Here is a 19,536-nt window from a genome sequence, read left to right on the forward strand (position 1 = left end):
GTAGAGAAGGCCTCCTGGTGCAGGGATGGAGTCTGTCCCAGCCAACCAGCCATCCACCCTGTCTTACTGTTAATTTTATATACTTGCCTAGCAATGCAAAGTTCTTTTTCAGCCTTAAATATATGTTCTTAGCTCCCTTCCAGCCTCTGCCTTTTGTTCATCAGGTGGGGCTGCACAGTGCACAGGGAGGAGCACAGCCGGGAGCCAGGCAACCCAGGTTCAAATCTGTGCCCTCATGCTCACCAGCTTGGTTACCTTAGGCAGTCTACCAGCTTCCCTGACTTCTGTTTTTTCATCTATAAAATATAGACAGTAATATATACCTCATAATATTGTTAATGAATATACACTGCAATAAGTTAATGTAGATAAGGCCCTTAGAATATTATCTGAAATATAGCAAACACCACAAAAGTTCTTAATCTTTTCATTTGTGAAGAGAACATACACCTTTCTGTGGAATTCTCATACGTGTGTACACTTCCATGAGAGGAACTGTCCACTCACTCTGCTGGGCTCCAGCCACGCCTCTCCTTGGAGGCCCAGGACCTCCAACTGTCCCTCTGTCCTCCCCTCCCTGATGCAGTCCGTGGTGTCATTGTTTGTTCCAGTCAAGTGCAAGGCTGTCTCCTTGTGCTTCTGTGTACAGGGTGGGCTTTATTTGCTGGGTGGGAGCGTGCCAACCCTGGAGTGCAAGCGAGGACAGGTCTTCTTGTACCTGGATGCAATTTGACATCCTCAGGCCTGGATAAGCATTTTTTTAATGACGCATAGTAACATTAGGATTTTAATAGTACCTGCTTCTGAGTTGATCAAAATATTTTATAGTTATAGTACTTAGTTTCTATTTAAATCCTTACCACACAGGTTAGATAGGAAAAGCCAGATAATATTAAATAGTAGGATGTCACAAGACAGGTCTACTAGCAGTGAGTTTGCATCCCCTTTTCCTCTTTTTTTTTTTTCTTTGAGACAGAGCCTTGCTCTGTCCCCCAGGCTGGAGTACAGTGGCGCGATATTGGCTCACTGCAAGCTCCGCCTCCCGGGTTCACGCCGTTCTCCTGCCTCAGCCTCCCGAGCAGCTGGGACCACAGGCACCCACCACCACCACACCTGGCTAATTTTTTGTGTTTTTGGTAGAGACGAGGTTTCACCGTGTTAGCCAGAATGGTCTTGATCTCCTGATCTCGTGATCCACCCGCCTTGGCCTCCCAAAGTGCTGGGATTACAGGTGTGAGCCACCGTGCTCAGCCACATTCTCTTTTCCTTATATGGGACGAGAATTCATTTTGAACTCTTCCCCGGTAGGTGGTAGAGTTTGGGCAGAAGACTGGCCTTATGCCCACATGACTTGATTTTAATGCTAGATTTGCCTCTCTCTGTAACCTTAACATGTTCCTTAATTTATTTTCTCACAACTCACTGAAAATGCTTACAATCCAATCCCTTAGTAGAATATTATATCCAATTTAACATTATGTAAGATACATCCTTGGAAGAACAGCCACTATATAAAACTTAAGGTCATTATTATAAATTGGCAGTGACAACTACTGTTTGTATTGAGACTTACTTCCAAGTCTATGGAAATTCTTCAACTTCTTGAAAGTATTAAGTAAAATCTATGGTCTGGTCCAAACTCCAGATCTTTGGTGGAACGAGGAGAAGTGACCTGGGCATGGAAGAAGAGGGCACAGTCCGCTTGGCCGTAGTCCTAGATGTGGACCACAGTGGTGGTTAGGCTTTTTACTGGAAAGGAGTGTAAAGAAAGAAGTTTCCGTGTGTTTTTGCCATTTTCACTTTTGTAACTTCTTATGGCCCAGCAAAAAGAAACAGTAGTGTGCAAATGTTTCGCTTTAAGGGGAACATAGAAATCTTACAAGCACTAAGTCCAGGGATTCCTCCCGCTGTTGCTAGACATGTGAAAGACAGCCAGCAAGAAGGCAGAGCGCAGAGTCAGGCCTTGTCTTAACAGCTTGGCTGTGGGAGCTATGAGCCACTTCAGAACATCTCACGCTTTTCTCTCTTTTCACCCATCTGACTTTTATTATAATAACCTTTCATTGTGGGCAGTGGTGTAAATTTGAGTCTTGGTTCTGCTGCTTCTCTGTCATGTGGTATGACTGTAGGCAAATTACCCTGTCCTCTCTCTGCTCATCATGTTGTCTTCCTTTATAAAATGGGGGTAATAGTTTCCCCGTCACTGGGCTGCTGTGAGGCTTGGATATGTTGGGTATTAGACATGGAGTATTTGACAGATGTCCACTGTCATTAGTACTAAAGGAAATTAAGGTCAAGAATAAGACACCGGCACAGTTGCTCATGCCTATAAACCCAGCACTTGGAGAGGCTGAGGTAGGAGGATCGCTTGAGTTTGAGACCAGCCTGGGCAACATAGTGAGATGCTATCTCTACAAAAACCAAAATCAGTTAGTGACAGTGGTGTGCTTCTGTAGACTCAGGTACTCGGGAGGCTGAGGTGGGAGGATCACCCAGGAGTTGGAGGCTGCAGTGAGCTATATAGGATCCTGCCACTGCACTCCAGCCTGGGTGACAAAGCCTTCTTTTTTTTTTCTTCTTCTTTTTTTTTTTTTTTTTTTTTGCTTCAAAAAAAAAAAAAGACTGACTTAAACAGAGCAGTCTAAGACCTTTGATAATACTGTATCTCTGTAGCCTGCGTGCTTTTAGAAAGCATTGTTAAAATACTTTTAGAAAGACTTCCACAAAACTGGTAAGCCTAAAGAAAAGCAAGCTCCTCTCACCAGACTAATTCACCTGGTAGACCAGTTCTGTATCTAAGGGACTGAATGGAGAAACTGTTACCGTAATCCTCTGAGATTAGTGTGTGTAGGGAGAGGCTGTGAGCAAGGATGTCTGCCCCATCCTGTGAGGAACTGTAGGAGAAATGAGAGGTTGTGTTGCTGCACACACTCATATTTCCCCTGTGTCCTGGGCACCCCTGCGTTCACTGCTTCCATTCCACACCTGCTACTCAGATGCCTTTTTTTTTTTAACTAATCAGTCCTGAATTTCCCTATTTTTTCCCAAAAATAATTTGCATTTCTTCTTACATATACAGCATTTGATGGAGAAGAGGGAGCAGTTTCCAGCCATCAAATTTATTGAGTTGCTGTTGTGTGCCAGGCAGTGTCCTAGACTTTAGGGGGCTGAAGATGACTACATCCTCGGAGGGCAGGCACGTAGCCTGTCGGGGAGGCCAGCAAAGAAGGAACGATGTGATATGGGCTAGAAGAGAGTTCAGGGCCAAGAACTGGAACATAGATAAAGACAAGGGTAAAGGTGGGTGCAGTCAGAAGAGGTCAGATGGGAAATCTAGGGCTTCAGAGGGTTCTGGGCAGACAAGGAGTTTCTCTAAGAAGAGAGAACAGCAAAGACAGATGCTTTGCCAAGTGCATGGTGTGTTAATTTAGGTCAGTATGACTGAGGTTTTCAAAGGCAGGGACTGTCCCCATCAACAGTGGTGGGGGCTCGTTGCTTCCTCCCTTAGTCAAGATAACCTGTAGGAAACCGGTTTTCAACAGGGTTGTAGACAGTAGTGAAGTCGCCACCCTCTTTGTCCCTTGGTTGTTTGTAAACATTTCCTCTTCTGTAACAGGAACTCTGTTGACTTTTCCTAAATCATCTGCCAGATATTTGAGGTTATTCATGACTTTTTTCCTTTTATTGAGGATCATTATCACTTCTATGACATCCCAGTATTAAAAATAGACAACATTAAGGGATATTTTTGACTTTTAATATAAGAAAGTTTTTAGAAATGTTTAGTCATGTACTTTGATAGAGGTATATGTTTCTAAGCCAAAAATTGGATTAAGTTTCCAGTCATTGCAGGCTACTTAATGTCTGTTAGATGTGGTATAGGTATAGGATATTTTGTTTAAGAGCGAGGACTGTTTTAAGGAACTGGTTTTACTCATGGAACCGTAGATCTGGCCACTGGGTATTTTTCTGTTGTGTTGTTAATTGTCATTCATCTACTCACTATAAGATAGTCTTCATTTTGGCTAAACAGATTCTTTTTTTCTTTTGTTTTTTTCCTTTCCAGCTTTTATTTTAGGGTCAGGGGGTACATGTGCAGGTTTGTTACATGGGTGAATTGCGTGTCATGGGGGTTTGGTGTACAGATGGTTTTGTCACCCAGGCAGTGAGCATAGGACCTGATAGGTAGTTTTTCAGTCCTCTCCTTCCTCCTACCCATCACCCTCAGGTAGGCCCCAGTGTCTGTTCCCTTCTTTTTGTCTGAGTACTCAATGCTAAAACAGGTTCTTAGCCCTATTTACTGTCGGGTAATCTTTGCTTTGTTTTCCTATTAGAACTAATAATGTGTTTATAATTACATAGTGATAATGTTACCACTTATTTCCTGATTTTGAATATTAATGTCCTAGCCTTTTATTTTTATTCATTAAATGTTGTGATTACAAAATAGTCCTAGTGTAGGACTGCTGGAGTTCGGTAAGTTGTTCAAGTTGGTTGGGAAAGGCAGTCTGACATATTCAGACTCCATTGTTAGCAGAGAAAACTGTAGTCAAAACAAAGATTATCTGCTCTAGCTGTTTCAGGGACTCTTAGTCAATTTGAAGCAGAGCTCAAAAGAAATATCATCTGCCAGTTATTTTCAATAAAGTCGCAGCCACTGCCACAAGGTTTACAAAAGTTACAGCTCCTTTAATTACATTTTAAAAACTAACTTACTTGAAGAAATTGGAAACAAAAGTAAAATAGAATATTGGGGAACCTGCCCCGTTAGTCACGTAGGTTCTTTTCTATTTTCCCTAAGCGTCGGCCGGTTTGAGAAATAAAGGGACAGAGTACAAAAGAGAGAAATTTTAAAGCTGGGCATCCAGGGGAGACGTCACATGTCGGTAGGTTCCGTGATGCCCCACAAGCCACAAAACCAGCAAGTTTTTATTAGGGATTTTCAAAAGGGGAGGGAGTGTGTGAACAGGTGTGGGTCACAGACATCAAATACTTCACAAGGTAATAGACTATCACAAGGCAAGTGGAGGCAGGGCAAGATCACAGGACCAGGGCGAAATTAAAATTGCTAATGAAGTTTCAGGCACCATTGTCATTGATAACATCTTATCAGGAGACAGGGTTTTGAGAGCAACCGGTCTGACCCAAATTTATTAGGTGGGAATTTCCTCTTCCTAATAAGCCTGGGAGCACTACGGGAGACTGGGGTCTATTCCACCCCTACAGCCTTGACCATAGAAGACGGCCACGCCCAGGGCCCCCCGCCACCCCGTAGACCTACCCCCAGGCGAGTATTCTCTTTCCCAGGGATGTTCCTTGCTGAGAAAAAGAATTCAGCGATATTTCTCCCATTTGCTTTTGAAAGAGGAGAAATATGGCTCTGTTCCGCCCGGCTCACCAGCTGTCAGAGTTTAAGGTGATCTCTCTTGTTCCCTGAACATTGCTGTTATCCTGTTCTTTTTCAAGGTGCCCAGATTTCATGTTGTTTAAACACACATGCTCTACAATTTGTGCAGTTAACACAATTATCACATGGTCCTGAGGCAACATACATCCTCCTCGGCTTACAAGATGACAGGATTAAGAGATTAAAGTAAAGACAGGCATAGGAAATCACAAGGGTATTGATTGGGGAAGTGATAAGTGTCGATGGAATCTTCACAATTTATGTTTAGAGATTGCAGTAAAGACAGGCATAAGAAATTATAAAAGTATTAATTTGGGGAACTAATAAATGTCCATGAAATCTTCACAATCCACGTTCTTCTGCCATGGCTTCAGCTGGTCCCTCCGTTTGGGGTCCCTGACTTCCCGCAACAATAGAATAGTAGTCATCACAGATTATGCATTTGATTAGTAAATTCCATCACAGAGTAGCATGGCAGCAGTGAAATCCTAACTCTACATTAATATGAAGACAGTGTTTTGTCATTAAACTGTGCTGCTTTAAACCAGATAGCAAATATCTGCGCTATTTTGTGCGTCTTGTGTAGTGTCACTTGAAATTGCAGTTTCCTTGCAGCTGAGTGTTAAGCCACTGTCTTCAAGTTCTCCATCATGCAGAACCTGCTTCCTGGGTCAAGGCAGTGTCTGAGCTTCCTTTGACTTTGGAAAGCAAATCATTTCCAGAACTGAAAGTGAAATTGAATTAAGTAGCTTTCCTTCAGGGACATCTGAAATTATGTGTTATGTGAGAGGTTAAGAATTGACATGGAGTAGTGCTCTCTAGCTTTGTTTTCTTGTGACATTTTATATTCATGCAACTTCTCTCCTAGGGCAGGAGGGCTGCCTCCCTGGCCACACCCTGCCCCAGGGCTGTAAACATGCCTTTTGTGTGGCATTGGTGTCCACAGTGTTACTAATTATAAAAATCGGTCACATGTCTTCCACTTCCCCTCAAGAGCCTCATCTGACTGCAGCACCTCATTGGTGCCCAGAGACGGGCAGTCAGGGGCATGGCCAGGGCCTTGCCCTCTGCAGCCACCATACCACTCACAAACATGGGCACCTGCTGGCCCGGGGAGCTGGGATCGTCTACACCCTGGGTCCCAAGGAAGCTGTCAGGAAGTCGTTCCTGTAGGGAAGGTGCCTCTAATTCTAAATTCAGCCAGCATCCCTTTTGTTTCCCTTAGTTATGAAAATTGTGTAATAAAATATTGTTGTGAAATATTTACATTTTGTATAACTGGAAGGCATATAAGGTAGCATACACAAATGAAAACTTGGTTTTAAAAATATATCTGAAGCTTTACAGGCTAAATTGAAAAGGAAATATACATGATGGTTTGCTTAGTAATATTAAAATGAATAAAAATTAAAGTTGGGTATGTTAATTTGTGTAAGAGTAAATTTTAAAATCTTCTCACTGTTGATCATATAATGTTATGTTTATATTTACCTAAAATTTTCATGAGTACTGAAATTTTTAGTACAATAATTTCTAAATTCAGACTAAGGCTATTTGACTAAAGTTGATTAAGTTTGATTAAGTTTCCAGTGTTCCATATAAGAATTTTCCCTGAGAAAACATCCTTTTAAAGCCACTTATTTGTTGATGTAGTTATTAAATGTAATTTTAAACTGGTTTCTATGCTGAACTGTGGTAGTTATAAGTTGTGTTATGAACAGCAAATACTAGACCGATCACTCAGGATAAGACATAACATGGGCTGACCTTCCCAGTGTGGACTGAAGCGTGAGAGATGGGAGGTTATAGACACTGGTGCAGATACTGCTTTTCCTTGGAATTAAGTGATGTCAGGTTTCGTGGGGTTTTCTTTTTTTCTGATAATGATAACAAAATACACAAATAGGATTATTTTGTATGACAAATTGCATCTTTGTTGTTTTTGCTTCACATTTATTTGTTTTATTTACAGGTGTTGACTTCAAAATCAAAACTGTAGAGCTAAGAGGAAAGAAAATTAGATTACAGATCTGGTAAGTGGGAGAGTGTGCACCCAGTAATGTGCTGTGTGTGTTTAACAGTCCATGTACTTGTCTAATAAAATGAACTGTTTGAGCTGATTTGCCTCTCCTACTTTCTCCTCTTTTGCTCATTTTAAAATTAAATGGACAGTGTTTCCATCAAGAGAGAGAATTTAGATAAGGCTGTTATGTTATATGCCACTTGCACATGGGGAGCAGTTGTGGACAGAAGAATGTTACTTTAATGGTAGCTAGTTTGGAACCTTTTTGCCTCTATTTTCAAATTATTTACGTGATATCAAAACTGTCTCCACTAAAATGATTGCTCAAATGTTTGTCTTCATGTCTTTATTTTGTATGATAGTATTCAAAGAAAGCCCAATATGTTCATAACCAGATTTGCACAATCTGAAGGCAGGTCCCCTGCAGACAGTTCCAGAGCTTCTTGGTGGCACAATGTGACTATTACTGCGGGTGGGCATACTCCTTCCGGCTGTACTGCTGATTCCACGGGATGTGAGCCCCCACTAATGCCTACTAGAAATGAATCCAGGCCCCTTTCTCAAATCACAATTGGAATGAGAGACTCAACCAGCTGTGTTATAACTGCACTCAGCACTAAGAGCTTTCTGTTAGCTATTAACCTGTTAACAGCCCGCAGGTGCTAGCGACCTGTCTGTGGAAGAAGGGATAAGATCTGGTCTGGTGGTCTGGCGGTGGCTTAAAAGTAGCCCCATTGAGGTGCTCTGAGAATGCCGTTTTGTTTTGAATGCTACAGCTGCGGTGTACTCAGCTTACTAACTCCTCTTGGCAGGTCACCCTCAGCTCTGATTGTTTGTCCACCATGTGTGTGTTTGCTTTCATCTGCGTTAATTGCTGCTTCATCTGTGGCATCATCGGTCACCTAATGCTTGAATGTTAGTGCCATGTCTTCATTCTTCATCCGTGTCCCTGTCTGGGCCGCAGCTGCAGCCAAGCCGCAGTGCCTGCCTTCTGGAGGTGTCTGAGGTAATATCTTCATTTGGTCACCCTTCACTGTATAACACACTTCTAAGATTTTTTGATTTGGGTTTTTGTTCGTTTTCTTTTCTGTTGTGCATTTGGTCTGCATATTTTCATTTTTGGCTTGATTATGAAACATTAGGTCTTGTCTAAATACTTGAATAAACAACAAATAGATATTTCTTCCTGTGCTAGTCCCGCAGACTTTTTGTGCATTGCTGCCCAGCTTTTAAACGCTGGAAATGGCAACAAAGTGTTTGGCACACAAGCTGCTGTTTCTAATTATAAGCTCTATAAGGTAAAGACCATCTTCACAAGGATTTGGGATATGCCTCTCTCTGTTCCTAGTACCTGTGTGAGGTACTTTCTGATGAGAATATTGCCCCACAAAAGTGATGTAAACATTATTAGAATGTGTGACGCCTGCCTTGGTGACAGCCATGCCTGATGACTGTGGCACATGTCTTAATTAATGCATTAATACTTCCATCTTCATCTTTGGCGGCAGTATTCTTTATAAAGTATGTCCAAATGATTTATAAAGTATGTCCAAATGTCCTGGTGCCTCCCTGGAGCTCTGCCCACTAAGTCTATGCTGGTGACATTGTACACTCCTGGAATCTGACTACAATGTCCTTGACTCTGAGATAAGAGGGCCCTACCTGATGGAATCCCCCTCGGGGAGAAAGTGAGATACTGTGGCTCCACGAAGAGCAGCGGGCACTCAGAAACCATTTTTCTCTTGTATATGAAAGCATTCTCCAAATGACCCCTCTCCCTCTCCTGATTCTCCCTTGACTCTTTACTACTTTTTCATTCTCTAAATCTGTGCAGCTGTACAGCATGGGCAAAGAGCGTAACTAAGGGAGGAAGAATGAAATGGATTGGACTTACGGAATGGTTGATTGCAAGTTTTCTACATGGAATATTCCAGTGACTCTTTTCCTGCAGGAAGGTTTTGAACAGTGACTCATATATCTACTACAGGCCAGCCATTTTGTTGATCACATAATACTCAAAATAAGATTTTTATCTTCTGAAATATTTTATTTAAAAGATGAAAACCTTTTCCTTCATTATTGCTATGCAGCAGGTAAAAAGGAAGTGTTAGAATCATGATTGTAATTTGTATTACTGTTTTAAAGTAATGCGTGGCTTCTTTAGGAGTGAGGCACAGCCCTTGTGCTGCTGCTGGTGTAACCTGCTTTGTTGTGGGCGTGTTGTCGTCGTTTCACTCTCATCCATTGAGGGCATAGAAGGCGCCTGTGTAGCTGGAAACGGTCCCTCAAGGAGGCGCAGTGGATTGTGCTATGCTAATAATAGATAGCTCTGCTCCGATTTTCTAGACTGGCATGAAAGCATTGCCATTCGGTTTTCATAGGAGGATCTTGTTGGAAGAAGTGCATTATTTACTATAGATTCCTAAAAGCTAAAAGTACCAAAAGCTGCAGGTGTCTGTTACATTTTTACGTCACGTTTTATGTCATTGCCACATATTTCAGTTTGTTGATTACCTGTGGTCAGAAAAAGGACCATTTTTCTCTTCTCTGTACTTTAAAGTATTTCTACATGAATGTTAGAACTTTATGTAAGTAGCTAAAATAAAACATGTTGACTAGGATGTAGTTTGATGAATTTATATCCAAATGGTGTCCTAGAAATTATTTACAGTGAACTTGGAGTTGTGTTGAAATGGACTTGAAGCCGTGAAATTTGCCTCTTACCTTTAGGCAAACACAGAATTGAAATGCTTCATATAAGGGCCCTTTGTTCTGCCTGTCGGACCAGTCCACTGTTGGGGGACTTTGTTTTAACCAGCGTTCTTAGGTCAGCATCATTCCTTTTGTTCTCTGCTTGGAAGAGGGGGAATATTTCATACCCTATATTGGCGTGTGCCCTGAAAATTAGTAATTAAATAATTTAAGTGGCTATATTAAATACAGCAAATAAGAGGCTTTGAATTCTCCAAGCGTTGTTGTATCACCAAACTGGGAAAACAGAATTGCAGGAATTTTTCAATTGCACAAAAACCAGATAGAAAAATCAGAATAAGGTGGCATGCTAACTGTAGTAAACGATGATTGAGCTGACGTTCATAACTTGCAAACCTCTAGAAATCCGCACCTTATCATTACAGTGAAAACTCAAGTTTATGGGGAAAAAGAGGGAAATATTAGGATTCTGCCTTTTCATAGAAAGGTGAAAGCATGATCAGTGCATTGATGTAATCTAATTTTCTGAAAAGGAGAGATTTGTGTGGGATTTTTATGGTGCTGGCACACGGTAGATATTTAAGAAATACTTGCTGAATGGAATCAACATTTCATTTATTATTCTTTGGCCGTACCTGATAGTAGATAATTTAGTATGTAAGGGAAATAAATCAAGCAAAGGCACTTTTGAGAGGAATAGAAAATAAAAGCTTTCTCAACCCAAATATTTTGGGAGTGTGGAATCGTCTCTCAAAGAAACATGCTTTTCTACCCCCAGCCTTCAGAGCCAGGCCCAAACAGTGGCATTTAAGGAATGGGCTTAAATGGGGAGTGCTGAACTAGTTCATGTTTCCTCATTGGGATTTTTGTCAACTAAATCAGTTTGCTCATTTGCGTTAGGACGATTGCCTCAGGTTTTGAATTTTGAGGTTTCTATCCTCTTTCTTTACATTGGACTTAAAGTCAGTAGAGGCAGCTGACTTCTTAATGGTGAGCTTCTTAATGTTTCTAAGATTCCTGAGTATGCTATTCATGCAAAAACATTTTAAGCTACATCAAAATTGCCTTTTACTATCCCTGTTCTTTGATTGTTTTTATTAAAACTCCTATTATCTGTAATTTCTCTGGTTTTGTGCCTCCAGTTTCTGGATTCTTAAGTCATTGAATGTGAATGGAAGTGCATGTGAGTTGACTTATACTGAAAACCAGATTAAAATTACCTAGAATAAAAGTTTATTAAAGTATGTAATTCCTAAAATGCTTATTGAAGACCTTAAATCTGATTGTTATTTAAATTTGTGGTTCAGCGATATTGTGTTAACCACTGATTTCAGAGTAGAAAAAATGCTTATTATTTTTAACTTTTTAAAGAAATGGGGAATGTTTTGTAACAGTACTCAAATAGCACAGAATATTTTTCAACATTAAAAACATTTGATTGAATCCTAATTTAGACAAGCCATAACTTGGGAGGATGGTAAACCATCCTCTGAAAGATTTAACTCTTTATTGGTTTGGAAGTAGTAAAGTATACCCCTAAATGCCTAGGATTAGAGAAATAATTTTATTCATTGACTCTTTATGGAAACCAAATGGTATCTAACTCTGTTCCTTCTCAGCCACCTTGAAGGTGACTATTAGTGTGGTCTTTAAGTTGCTTTTAGAAATCCTGAAGAATTCAGTCTTCGTCTATCATATTCTTCAGATTTCCTTTTTTGTTTTTGCAGTTCTGAGGCCAAAAGATGAAGTTTCTTTGCCTTGCCTGATGTGGCATCAACTTTCTAATTTTTAAACATGTTACCAGCGCATGTCTACTGATCGTGTACTGCAGGACCTGGGTAGACAGAAACATACCCACCTCTGCCCTCCTCACCTTCCAGTCAGGGCAGCAGGGGATCCTCATATCCTCTGAGGCAAAGCAAATGGCTTCACTTTATGTGGAAATGAATTTGCCAGTGAGCTTTCGTGCTTGTTTGACAATAAGGCATCACTGATGTGAACTAATTTGGTGGCAGGTCTCCTCTGAAGGAAACCAGAAATTGTAACAGCATGGCCAAGGGGTGTTTCTAGGGACCCAGTCCCACAGGTGCCTAAGGGAAGTGTTCTCCTCCCCTTTCAGGAACTCCCTGCTGTGTGGTGAGAGGCTCTGGTGGCCTTGCATGGAAGAGCCTGTTGCCCCCCAGCTTACTCCACTGTGGCGCACTTGGTTGGGGTTCTTTGGGTAAAGCTAAATCATAGATGGTCTTTAAAGAAATCGCTTTGCAAGTGTTAGTCCTTCCTGATTGGAAGCCTTCTCCATTGAGCCTTATTGGAATTAGAAATTTGCAGTGGTTCTCAGTTTCTAGGCTTATCATAATATAAGATATAAACCAAAAAGTATCTGAGACAGGTCTCAATCAATTTAGAGAGTTTATTTTGCCAGGGCTAAGGACACACCTATGACACAGCATCAGGTGGTCCTGACAACCTGTGCCCAAAGTGGTCAAGAGTACACTTTGCTTTTGTACATTTTAAGGAGACATAATACATCAATCAATACATGTAAGATTTACACTGGTTTGATCTGGACAGGTGAGACAGCTCAAAGGGGCTGGGGCTTCCAGGTCATAGGTAGATTTAAACATATTCTGATTAGCAGTTGGTTGAAAGAGTTATTATCTATAGAAAGCAATGTCTGGGTTACTATAAGGGGTTGTGGAGACCTAGGTTTTATCATGTAGATGAGCCTCTAAGTAGCTGGCTTCAGAGAGAAGAGACTAAACGTTTCTTACCAGACTTAAAGTGTGTGTTCATGTTCATGCTGGAGGGTAGAGTGAGGAATGTCTGACCCCCACTGCTCATCATGGCCAGCACCAGCCTTTCAGGTTAAATTTTAGAGTGCCCTGGCCGAAGGGGAGGTCCATTCAGATGGTTGTGGGAGGACTTCAAATTTTATATTTGGTTTAAAAAGGAGAAACAGGGCTCAGCTGGCATCTGTACTGATTGATGTGCTTACATTCTTCATGTGGATGTGGCCAGTGTCAGCCTGGAGAAAAAAGAACGCTTTTAGATTTCAAAGGAGCAGTTGGGTAATAATGAACTTTACCATATTTGCAAACCTATCTGGTATCTCTCCTCCCTTTTCCTTTGACCACCTATTCTGTCTAGGGTTAAGAAAATAACAAAGCCAATTCTGGTTTGTTTTTGTTTTTGTTTTTGTTTTTTGAGATGGAGTCTTGCTCTCTGTCCCCTAGGCTGCAGTGCAGTGGCGCGATTGCAGTTAACTGCAACCTCTGCCTCGCAGGCTCAAGCAATTCTCCTGCCTCAGCCTTCTGAGTAGCTGAGATTACAGGCATCTGCCATCATGCCTAGCTAAGTTTTATATTTTTAGTAGAGACGGGGGTTTCACCATGTTGGCCAGGCTGGTCTTGAACTCGTGGCCTCAGGTGACTTGCCCACCTCAGCTTCACAAATTGCTGGGATTACAGGCATGAGCCACTGCGCCCGGCCTAACAAGGCTAATTCTACAGCATTTTTCATAAGTGTGGGACTATTGGTCATCTTTTCAACAAAACCAGATATTAACAATCAATGTCAGTTAAAGGAGAGTTGTAGACTTAAATAGTGTCAATTGTCCTACATTTTCATGTTGTTGATAACAGCCTACCATAGAGGTGTTACAGCTTCCACCATTTTACACAGGAGGAAACAGAGCTCAGCTCAGAGAGGTTGAGTTTTCCAAGAAGCCAAGTCATGGGGCCAAGAATAGTGCCCGGGTGCCATGAGACTCTGCCCACTACTGCCCTGCTGGCTGCAGAGCGGCTCAGATACGGCTGTCATCCAAGCCAGGGAGCCTTTGAGCCAGTGCTGCTGAGAAAATTGGGAAAAAGCCCACTGCCCGGTTCCCAGCACATCTTCACTGTTCCTCGGGCTCCCTCCATGTCTGTTTCCCTCTGAGTGTAGTAGATTGGGGACTCAGAACCTTCTAGAACAGAAGTTATGGTTTTGTAAGGGGAAGAAATATGGTCAAGTGCACATCTATAATTTAGAGTATTAAATTTCCTTGTACCCTTATGATTTATTCTAGAAGGTCAGCACATTGATTACAAAGCTAATGTTGGCTAACATTAATCCTTCAGGTATGAGGTAAGAAATAAAAAATTACTTTCATGCTTCATTTCTGCACAAAATTTCACTCTGGAAAGATATTTCATTTGAAAAAAAAATTAAAAGTTTTACTCTGTAAAGGATTTTCAGATCTTTTCTGCTATGAAAATTCTTGTTTTCTAATTTTCAAAATCTTGGTTTGAAAGTAATTGGAGGCTGGGCTGGTAGCTTACACCTGTAATTCCAGCACTTTGGGAGGCCAAGGCAGGTGGATCACATGAGGTCAGGAGTTTGAGACCAGCCTGGCCGACATGGTGAAACCCTGTCTCTACTAAAAATATATTAGCCAGGCATGGTGGCGCATGCCTGTAATCCCAGGTTGTCGGGAGGCTGAGGCAGGAGAATCGCTTGAACTCGGGAGGCAGAGGTTGCAGTGAACCAAGATCATGTCACTGATTGCATTCCAGCCTGGGTGACAGAGCTAGACTCTGTCTCCAAAAAAAAAAAAAAAAAAAAGTAATTGGGACTTATTGATGTTTTTGTTTGAGTGTAACTTGTTCAGAAAAGCTACTGTGGCTGACAGTAGTGGCTGTGCACGGATGTCAGTGCAGACTTGAGGAGCTTCCAGTGGCCGGACCCAGACAGAGGCATTCTCAAGAGCTGGCTCTGCTTGTCTCCACAGACTCAGTGCTGCTGGCCTGACTGTGCCTGCTAGGGTTGTAACTGTGGATCTTCTTTTCTTCCTGAAGTGGTCATCGTAAGCTGCCACATGTGCCCCACGCCTGCCCCCAGCACTCTAGGTGGTGGTTAGTGAGCTCTGAGAAATGAATTCTTTGTGGCTTGGAGGGCATTCATTTTCACAATCCTAGGATGCCCACCATTTATTGTGTGTGTGAGCGGGGAGTGGGTCATGCATGTGTATCAAGTGTGTGTTTCTTGTGTGGCATTGTTGCTCTTGGGTATGACAAATGGTTTTGTAAATCACCTACAATGTGAATTCTTAGGGATTGATTGTTTGGAAACTCTGTATTTTAAAAACTTTTCCCCCATTTTATTTTAGGAAAACATCATATATTTTGATGTTATATTAGCATTCCTGTTGCTGATTTTCTGTCTTGAGGGAAAAAGTTATTCAGGAGAGTATGTTGATCTTGGTTCATAATCCATCTCCATTAATCTAATTTAGTTGTTAAATATAAAGGTATTTTCTATGTCATAGTTTTAGTCAACCTAAATTTTTCCTACTTTCTTTAAGTGTGGTCATCAGGTCAAAGGGAAATAGGGGTTACTCTCGTTCTTTTTTCGCAGAAAAACTGCAGCATATAATCTATGTTTGCATTGGAATGTGATGGTGCTCACTTTGGGCATTATTTGGGAACTGACTTTGGCTGCTTTTTCTTAGGGACACAGCAGGTCAGGAGAGATTCAACAGCATTACCTCAGCTTATTACAGAAGTGCCAAGGGGATCATATTAGTATATGATATCACTAAGAAGGAGACATTTGATGATTTGCCGAAATGGATGAAGATGATTGATAAGGTAAATGTTGCATTTTTCTGTCCAATGTGAACTCTCTGCTTGTGAGTCTTAATCATTATTAAAAGAAGGAGGGGAAACACATGTATTGAGCATGTTTTCATATAGACTAAACATCATTTAGCCCATATATAGCCTTCGGGATAGGGATGTAGTCCTGTATTGTGGATGAGGCAAAGAAGAATTAAATTTATCCAGAATCAGGATTTTTCGTCTGGTATCCTGGACTGTCTCAACTACAGAGGCCAAACATGCTCATTCCACTACATCCAGCTGCTTTCATGGAATAGATATAAGACATTTCATTTCTGCGGAAAGGTCACCTGGACACTCATCTCATGCACGTCCACTGAGTGACAACCTTGAGGAGATGGCCTTCTCCACGGTGCCTGCGGATGTCCCACGCGCCTCCGTCACCCACTGGACATCTGTCCTCGCAATTATAGATGCCCTTTAGCTCCTCATTTTGAGCAAGAGGAGCTCGAGTTCTCCTTTGGCTCGTGATGGAATCATACAGATAGGCTGTGTCCCTGTGGTTAATGTGAACCGTGGGTTCTCCGCTAAGAAACATGTTCCCAAATACACATTTAGAAGGCAGAGCAGTTGGGAGTGGGATGTGATGATATACCATTGACCACATTTTGAGTTTTCTTCCCCTCGTGCAGTAGTTTCATGTTTAGTTCCTTTGCATAACAAGCATATGCAATATAAATTGGATTTTATCTACACATTGCATTTAAACCTGTCTGCTAGATAACATTGGAGAATGTTTGCCAGCTTTACCAAGCATGTCATTGATGATGTATGCCTCTTTAAAATGTGTTAGGATTGGTGGCCAGGCATGGTGACTCACACCTGTAATCCCAGCACTTTGGAAGGCCAAAGCAAGAGGATCACTTGAACCCAGGAGGTCGAGACCAGCCTGGGCAACATAGTGGGACTCCATCTCTCTCTCTCTCTTTTTTTTTTTTTTTTTTTTCATTAAAAAAAAAAGTTGTTAGGATCAGGGTTGCAAGGTTGGATCAGACCTGAGGCGGGGCCCCTGCCCCAGCCTGCTCTGCACTGGGCATCAGTCATACCAGGCCCTCCATTGGCACATCAGTGGATACTGATGTTCCCTGATACGGAAGTCACAGAGTGCAATCCTGTGGAAATTAGAAGTGGACAGTCCTCATAGTCTAAAACTTTTAGAACTAATAGGATGAATACAAAACCAAAAGAAATGGCCTAAATCCTACCCCATTTGGTACTTGAGTTTGTGAGTCTGTGCCCACCCAGGTCTTGAGGTCTGATGCTGTCTTCCTTTTGTCATCAACTGCTGCTTTTCACCTTACTTGAGTGAGAGCATCATTTCCTGAGTGCGGGGCCCATTGCCCCAGCCCTGCGGTGGGTGCTGTCACTGTTACCCACACCTCCCTGATAAGGGGCCGGCACTCCTCACCTGGCTGCGTAACTGGCCCACGGCCACACCATTCAGGTTCCTTTTGTTGCAGTCTGTTTCAAGTAACTTTTTAGAACGACAAGTTAGTTGCTCAAGAGATTTTAACCTCATTTTTAAAGACAGAAATCTCATTGTACCTATATGTATTTTTAAACTTAGAAATGTAGCTTAACTTTTTTCCTGGTTATAAAATTAATGATACCTTCATTATAGAAATTTGGAAAATGAAGAAAAGCACAAAAGTAAAGAAGAAATCTGTACCTCTGGCATCCTGAAAAACCAAATTGGCTTCACTGTATTTAGCTTTACGTCTTGCTTATTTTGTGAATATTCTGTCATGGAGTCCTTCCTGTGTCATTCTCTGTTCTTCTGAAGCGTGTGTTTTTTTAAATGCCTGTGTTTTTAAAATAACTTGATTCTTGAGCCATTTTGTTTGACTTGTAGGTTTTTCAGTTGATAACCATTTTGAGTGTAGAGCTTTGCCTGTATGTTGAATCATTTCCTTAGGAAGAGGTCTTGGGAATTGTTGGGTCAACAGCCAAGAGCATTGTGGTTCTTAATGCCTGTGCCCTAGTTCTTTCTAAGACACAGTGAGCCCTGCCTTGCACTGCTGCCCAGTCCTGCCTGGGAACTGGTAGAACCTCAAAGACAGTGGAAGTGAATGGACAAATGTAAATTAGCGAAAAATACTGTATCGGTTTATATTTCTGCTGTCAGTATATGGCGATGCCCATCTTTGAAATGTGGCTTCTTTTAAAATTCCACAGTATGCTTCAGAAGATGCAGAGCTTCTCTTAGTTGGAAATAAGTTGGACTGTGAAACGGACAGAGAAATCACCAGGCAGCAGGGGGAAAAGGTGAGAGGGCGTGGGAGGCACGGTTGCCACACACTGTGCTTAGCGCTTGAGGTACTGTTTCTTTTAATAAATTACTTATTTTAAAAATTACAAAGAAATTATCAATACAGTGATAACTCAGTCACATCCTCCTAATTTGTTTGCACTTTTTTGACTTCGTGCTCCTTTAAATTCATTCTGAAATGGAGGGAGAAAAAAACACATCAGTGTATACAACATTATTATCTAACCTGACATTTTATACAGAGAAACATATTTTAAGCCATAAAGTTGCTTTTATAATTTACTTTAACGTACTTTAAACTTCCTTGGTTTTTGCTAAGGATTGAATCATGGAGAAACGATGCTATTCACATTTAAATGTCAGATATGTTACACTTTTAGAAACTTAGGCAACTGATTTGACTGGAAGGTCCCGGCATCACCTTCAGGATTTTTATTGTCTTTTGTTTTGCTAGTTGCTTATAATGTAAGAATTTGCTACACTTGTGAACTTTATCTTTGAGCGTCAGTGGGACTTTCTACCCCTTAATCCCAGCCCTTCCCTTGAAGCTGAGCCCAGAGACCTCATGCTCGCACGCTGGTCTGTGAGGCCCCACACAGAGGAAATAGGTGTGTGTTTCTTCTCAGTTTGCACAGCAGATCACTGGGATGCGGTTCTGTGAAGCAAGTGCCAAGGATAACTTCAATGTGGACGAGATATTTTTGAAACTTGTCGATGACATTCTGAAAAAGGTAAAAAAAAGAATCTACATTATAAAAGTATATCATCTGAAACCTGTTGTTTCCTTTATTGCTTTTTTATTGAGAATTTTGTATTTAGAAACCAAAATACAGTAGTTGTGCTCAGGCGCAAGAACCAGGTATGGTTGTTAACTCAGCCACAGGCACCCGGCCTGCTGTAGCCGTTTCCCACCCAGGGGCTTCTGGTGTCCTTGGGGTTGGTATATGGCATACTTGCTTCGCCTTAAGATACAGCAGGGTAGACTTAACAGGGTGTAGCAATATGCTGTGTTTATTTGACATTTGCTTGTTTTCCCACCCCCGTTTTTCTGTGAGAATTCAGTTGGAGACCTAGCCAAGTCTGCAGGTGTCTTAGCGGAAAAGAGAGCCCCGTGGTGCTGCGCTTGCATCCCTTCCTGTTCTGCTCCCTGGTGGGAGCCACTTCCTTACAGAGACCTTTCCATGATGCTGAGTTGCAAGAAAATTGCTAGACAGCTTCATTGAGCAGCAGCAGTTTCTTCAGGCATCTTTAGGCTTACATTCAAAAATTGTTAATAAGAACTGAAGTTTATGTTATTAAGTGAAATTTGCTCAGTTCATACATAATTCAGAAGCTTCTAATAAAGTAATTGTTTAGGCTGGGTGTGGTAGCTCACACCTATAATCCCAGCACTTTGGAAAGTCAAGGTGGGAGGATCACTTGAGGCCAGGAGTTCAAGACCAGACTGGGCAACACAGTGAAGCCCCAT

At 41.6% G+C, this 19,536-nt stretch overlaps 1 protein-coding gene and 1 long non-coding RNA gene across 5 annotated transcripts in view, besides 8 other annotated features; one reads left to right on the plus strand and one right to left on the minus strand.

Annotated features, from left to right (window-relative positions):
- The window catches only part of RAB12 (RAB12, member RAS oncogene family), a 29,947-nt gene that overhangs the window by 8,122 nt on the left and 2,289 nt on the right, over positions 1 to 19,536 (plus strand). The window contains exons 1-5 of one of the 4 annotated variants that reach the window (XM_006722300.4): positions 6,426 to 6,585; positions 7,380 to 7,440; positions 15,631 to 15,769; positions 17,975 to 18,064; positions 18,695 to 18,799. In XM_006722300.4, the coding sequence (XP_006722363.1) occupies positions 6,456 to 6,585; positions 7,380 to 7,440; positions 15,631 to 15,769; positions 17,975 to 18,064; positions 18,695 to 18,799 (525 nt within the window). In that variant the 5' untranslated portion in view covers positions 6,426 to 6,455. Of the gene's footprint in view, positions 1 to 6,425; positions 6,586 to 7,379; positions 7,441 to 8,242; positions 8,437 to 9,264; positions 10,052 to 15,630; positions 15,770 to 17,974; positions 18,065 to 18,694; positions 18,800 to 19,536 lie in introns of those variants that run through there. The other 3 variants (NM_001025300.3, XR_001753165.2, XR_001753166.2) reach the window with 3 other exon arrangements.
- Positions 632 to 1,132: an enhancer, noted in NCBI's record as "H3K4me1 hESC enhancer chr18:8618188-8618688 (GRCh37/hg19 assembly coordinates)". NCBI's record gives its function as "activates a minimal SCP1, AML or CMV promoter by ChIP-STARR-seq in naive H9 embryonic stem cells {active_cell/tissue: H9 hESC(naive)}" and the evidence as "EXISTENCE:reporter gene assay evidence [ECO:0000049][PMID:30033119]".
- Positions 1,133 to 1,633: an enhancer, noted in NCBI's record as "H3K4me1 hESC enhancer chr18:8618689-8619189 (GRCh37/hg19 assembly coordinates)". NCBI's record gives its function as "activates a minimal SCP1, AML or CMV promoter by ChIP-STARR-seq in naive H9 embryonic stem cells {active_cell/tissue: H9 hESC(naive)}" and the evidence as "EXISTENCE:reporter gene assay evidence [ECO:0000049][PMID:30033119]".
- Positions 4,359 to 5,012: an enhancer, noted in NCBI's record as "OCT4-NANOG-H3K27ac hESC enhancer chr18:8621915-8622568 (GRCh37/hg19 assembly coordinates)". NCBI's record gives its function as "activates a minimal SCP1, AML or CMV promoter by ChIP-STARR-seq in primed H9 embryonic stem cells {active_cell/tissue: H9 hESC(primed)}" and the evidence as "EXISTENCE:reporter gene assay evidence [ECO:0000049][PMID:30033119]".
- Positions 5,013 to 5,665: an enhancer, noted in NCBI's record as "OCT4-NANOG-H3K27ac hESC enhancer chr18:8622569-8623221 (GRCh37/hg19 assembly coordinates)". NCBI's record gives its function as "activates a minimal SCP1, AML or CMV promoter by ChIP-STARR-seq in naive and primed H9 embryonic stem cells {active_cell/tissue: H9 hESC(naive and primed)}" and the evidence as "EXISTENCE:reporter gene assay evidence [ECO:0000049][PMID:30033119]".
- Positions 5,666 to 6,318: an enhancer, noted in NCBI's record as "H3K27ac-H3K4me1 hESC enhancer chr18:8623222-8623874 (GRCh37/hg19 assembly coordinates)". NCBI's record gives its function as "activates a minimal SCP1, AML or CMV promoter by ChIP-STARR-seq in primed H9 embryonic stem cells {active_cell/tissue: H9 hESC(primed)}" and the evidence as "EXISTENCE:reporter gene assay evidence [ECO:0000049][PMID:30033119]".
- Positions 6,319 to 6,971: an enhancer, noted in NCBI's record as "H3K27ac-H3K4me1 hESC enhancer chr18:8623875-8624527 (GRCh37/hg19 assembly coordinates)". NCBI's record gives its function as "activates a minimal SCP1, AML or CMV promoter by ChIP-STARR-seq in primed H9 embryonic stem cells {active_cell/tissue: H9 hESC(primed)}" and the evidence as "EXISTENCE:reporter gene assay evidence [ECO:0000049][PMID:30033119]".
- Positions 12,986 to 13,546: an enhancer, noted in NCBI's record as "H3K27ac-H3K4me1 hESC enhancer chr18:8630542-8631102 (GRCh37/hg19 assembly coordinates)". NCBI's record gives its function as "activates a minimal SCP1, AML or CMV promoter by ChIP-STARR-seq in naive H9 embryonic stem cells {active_cell/tissue: H9 hESC(naive)}" and the evidence as "EXISTENCE:reporter gene assay evidence [ECO:0000049][PMID:30033119]".
- Positions 17,772 to 18,971: an enhancer, noted in NCBI's record as "BRD4-independent group 4 enhancer chr18:8635328-8636527 (GRCh37/hg19 assembly coordinates)". NCBI's record gives its function as "activates an origin of replication core promoter dependent on BRD2, P300/CBP, MED14 and CDK7 cofactors, and independent of BRD4, by STARR-seq in HCT116 cells {active_cell/tissue: HCT116}" and the evidence as "EXISTENCE:reporter gene assay evidence [ECO:0000049][PMID:35650434]".
- RAB12-AS1 (RAB12 antisense RNA 1) lies at positions 18,104 to 18,790 on the minus strand. Its single transcript, NR_199004.1, has 2 exons — positions 18,631 to 18,790; positions 18,104 to 18,241 (listed from the first exon to the last, which is right to left on the minus strand). It is a non-coding gene; the product is annotated as an RAB12 antisense RNA 1 (long non-coding RNA).

This window comes from Homo sapiens, chromosome 18 (assembly GCF_000001405.40).
Source record: "Homo sapiens chromosome 18, GRCh38.p14 Primary Assembly".
NCBI lineage: Eukaryota > Metazoa > Chordata > Mammalia > Primates > Hominidae > Homo > Homo sapiens.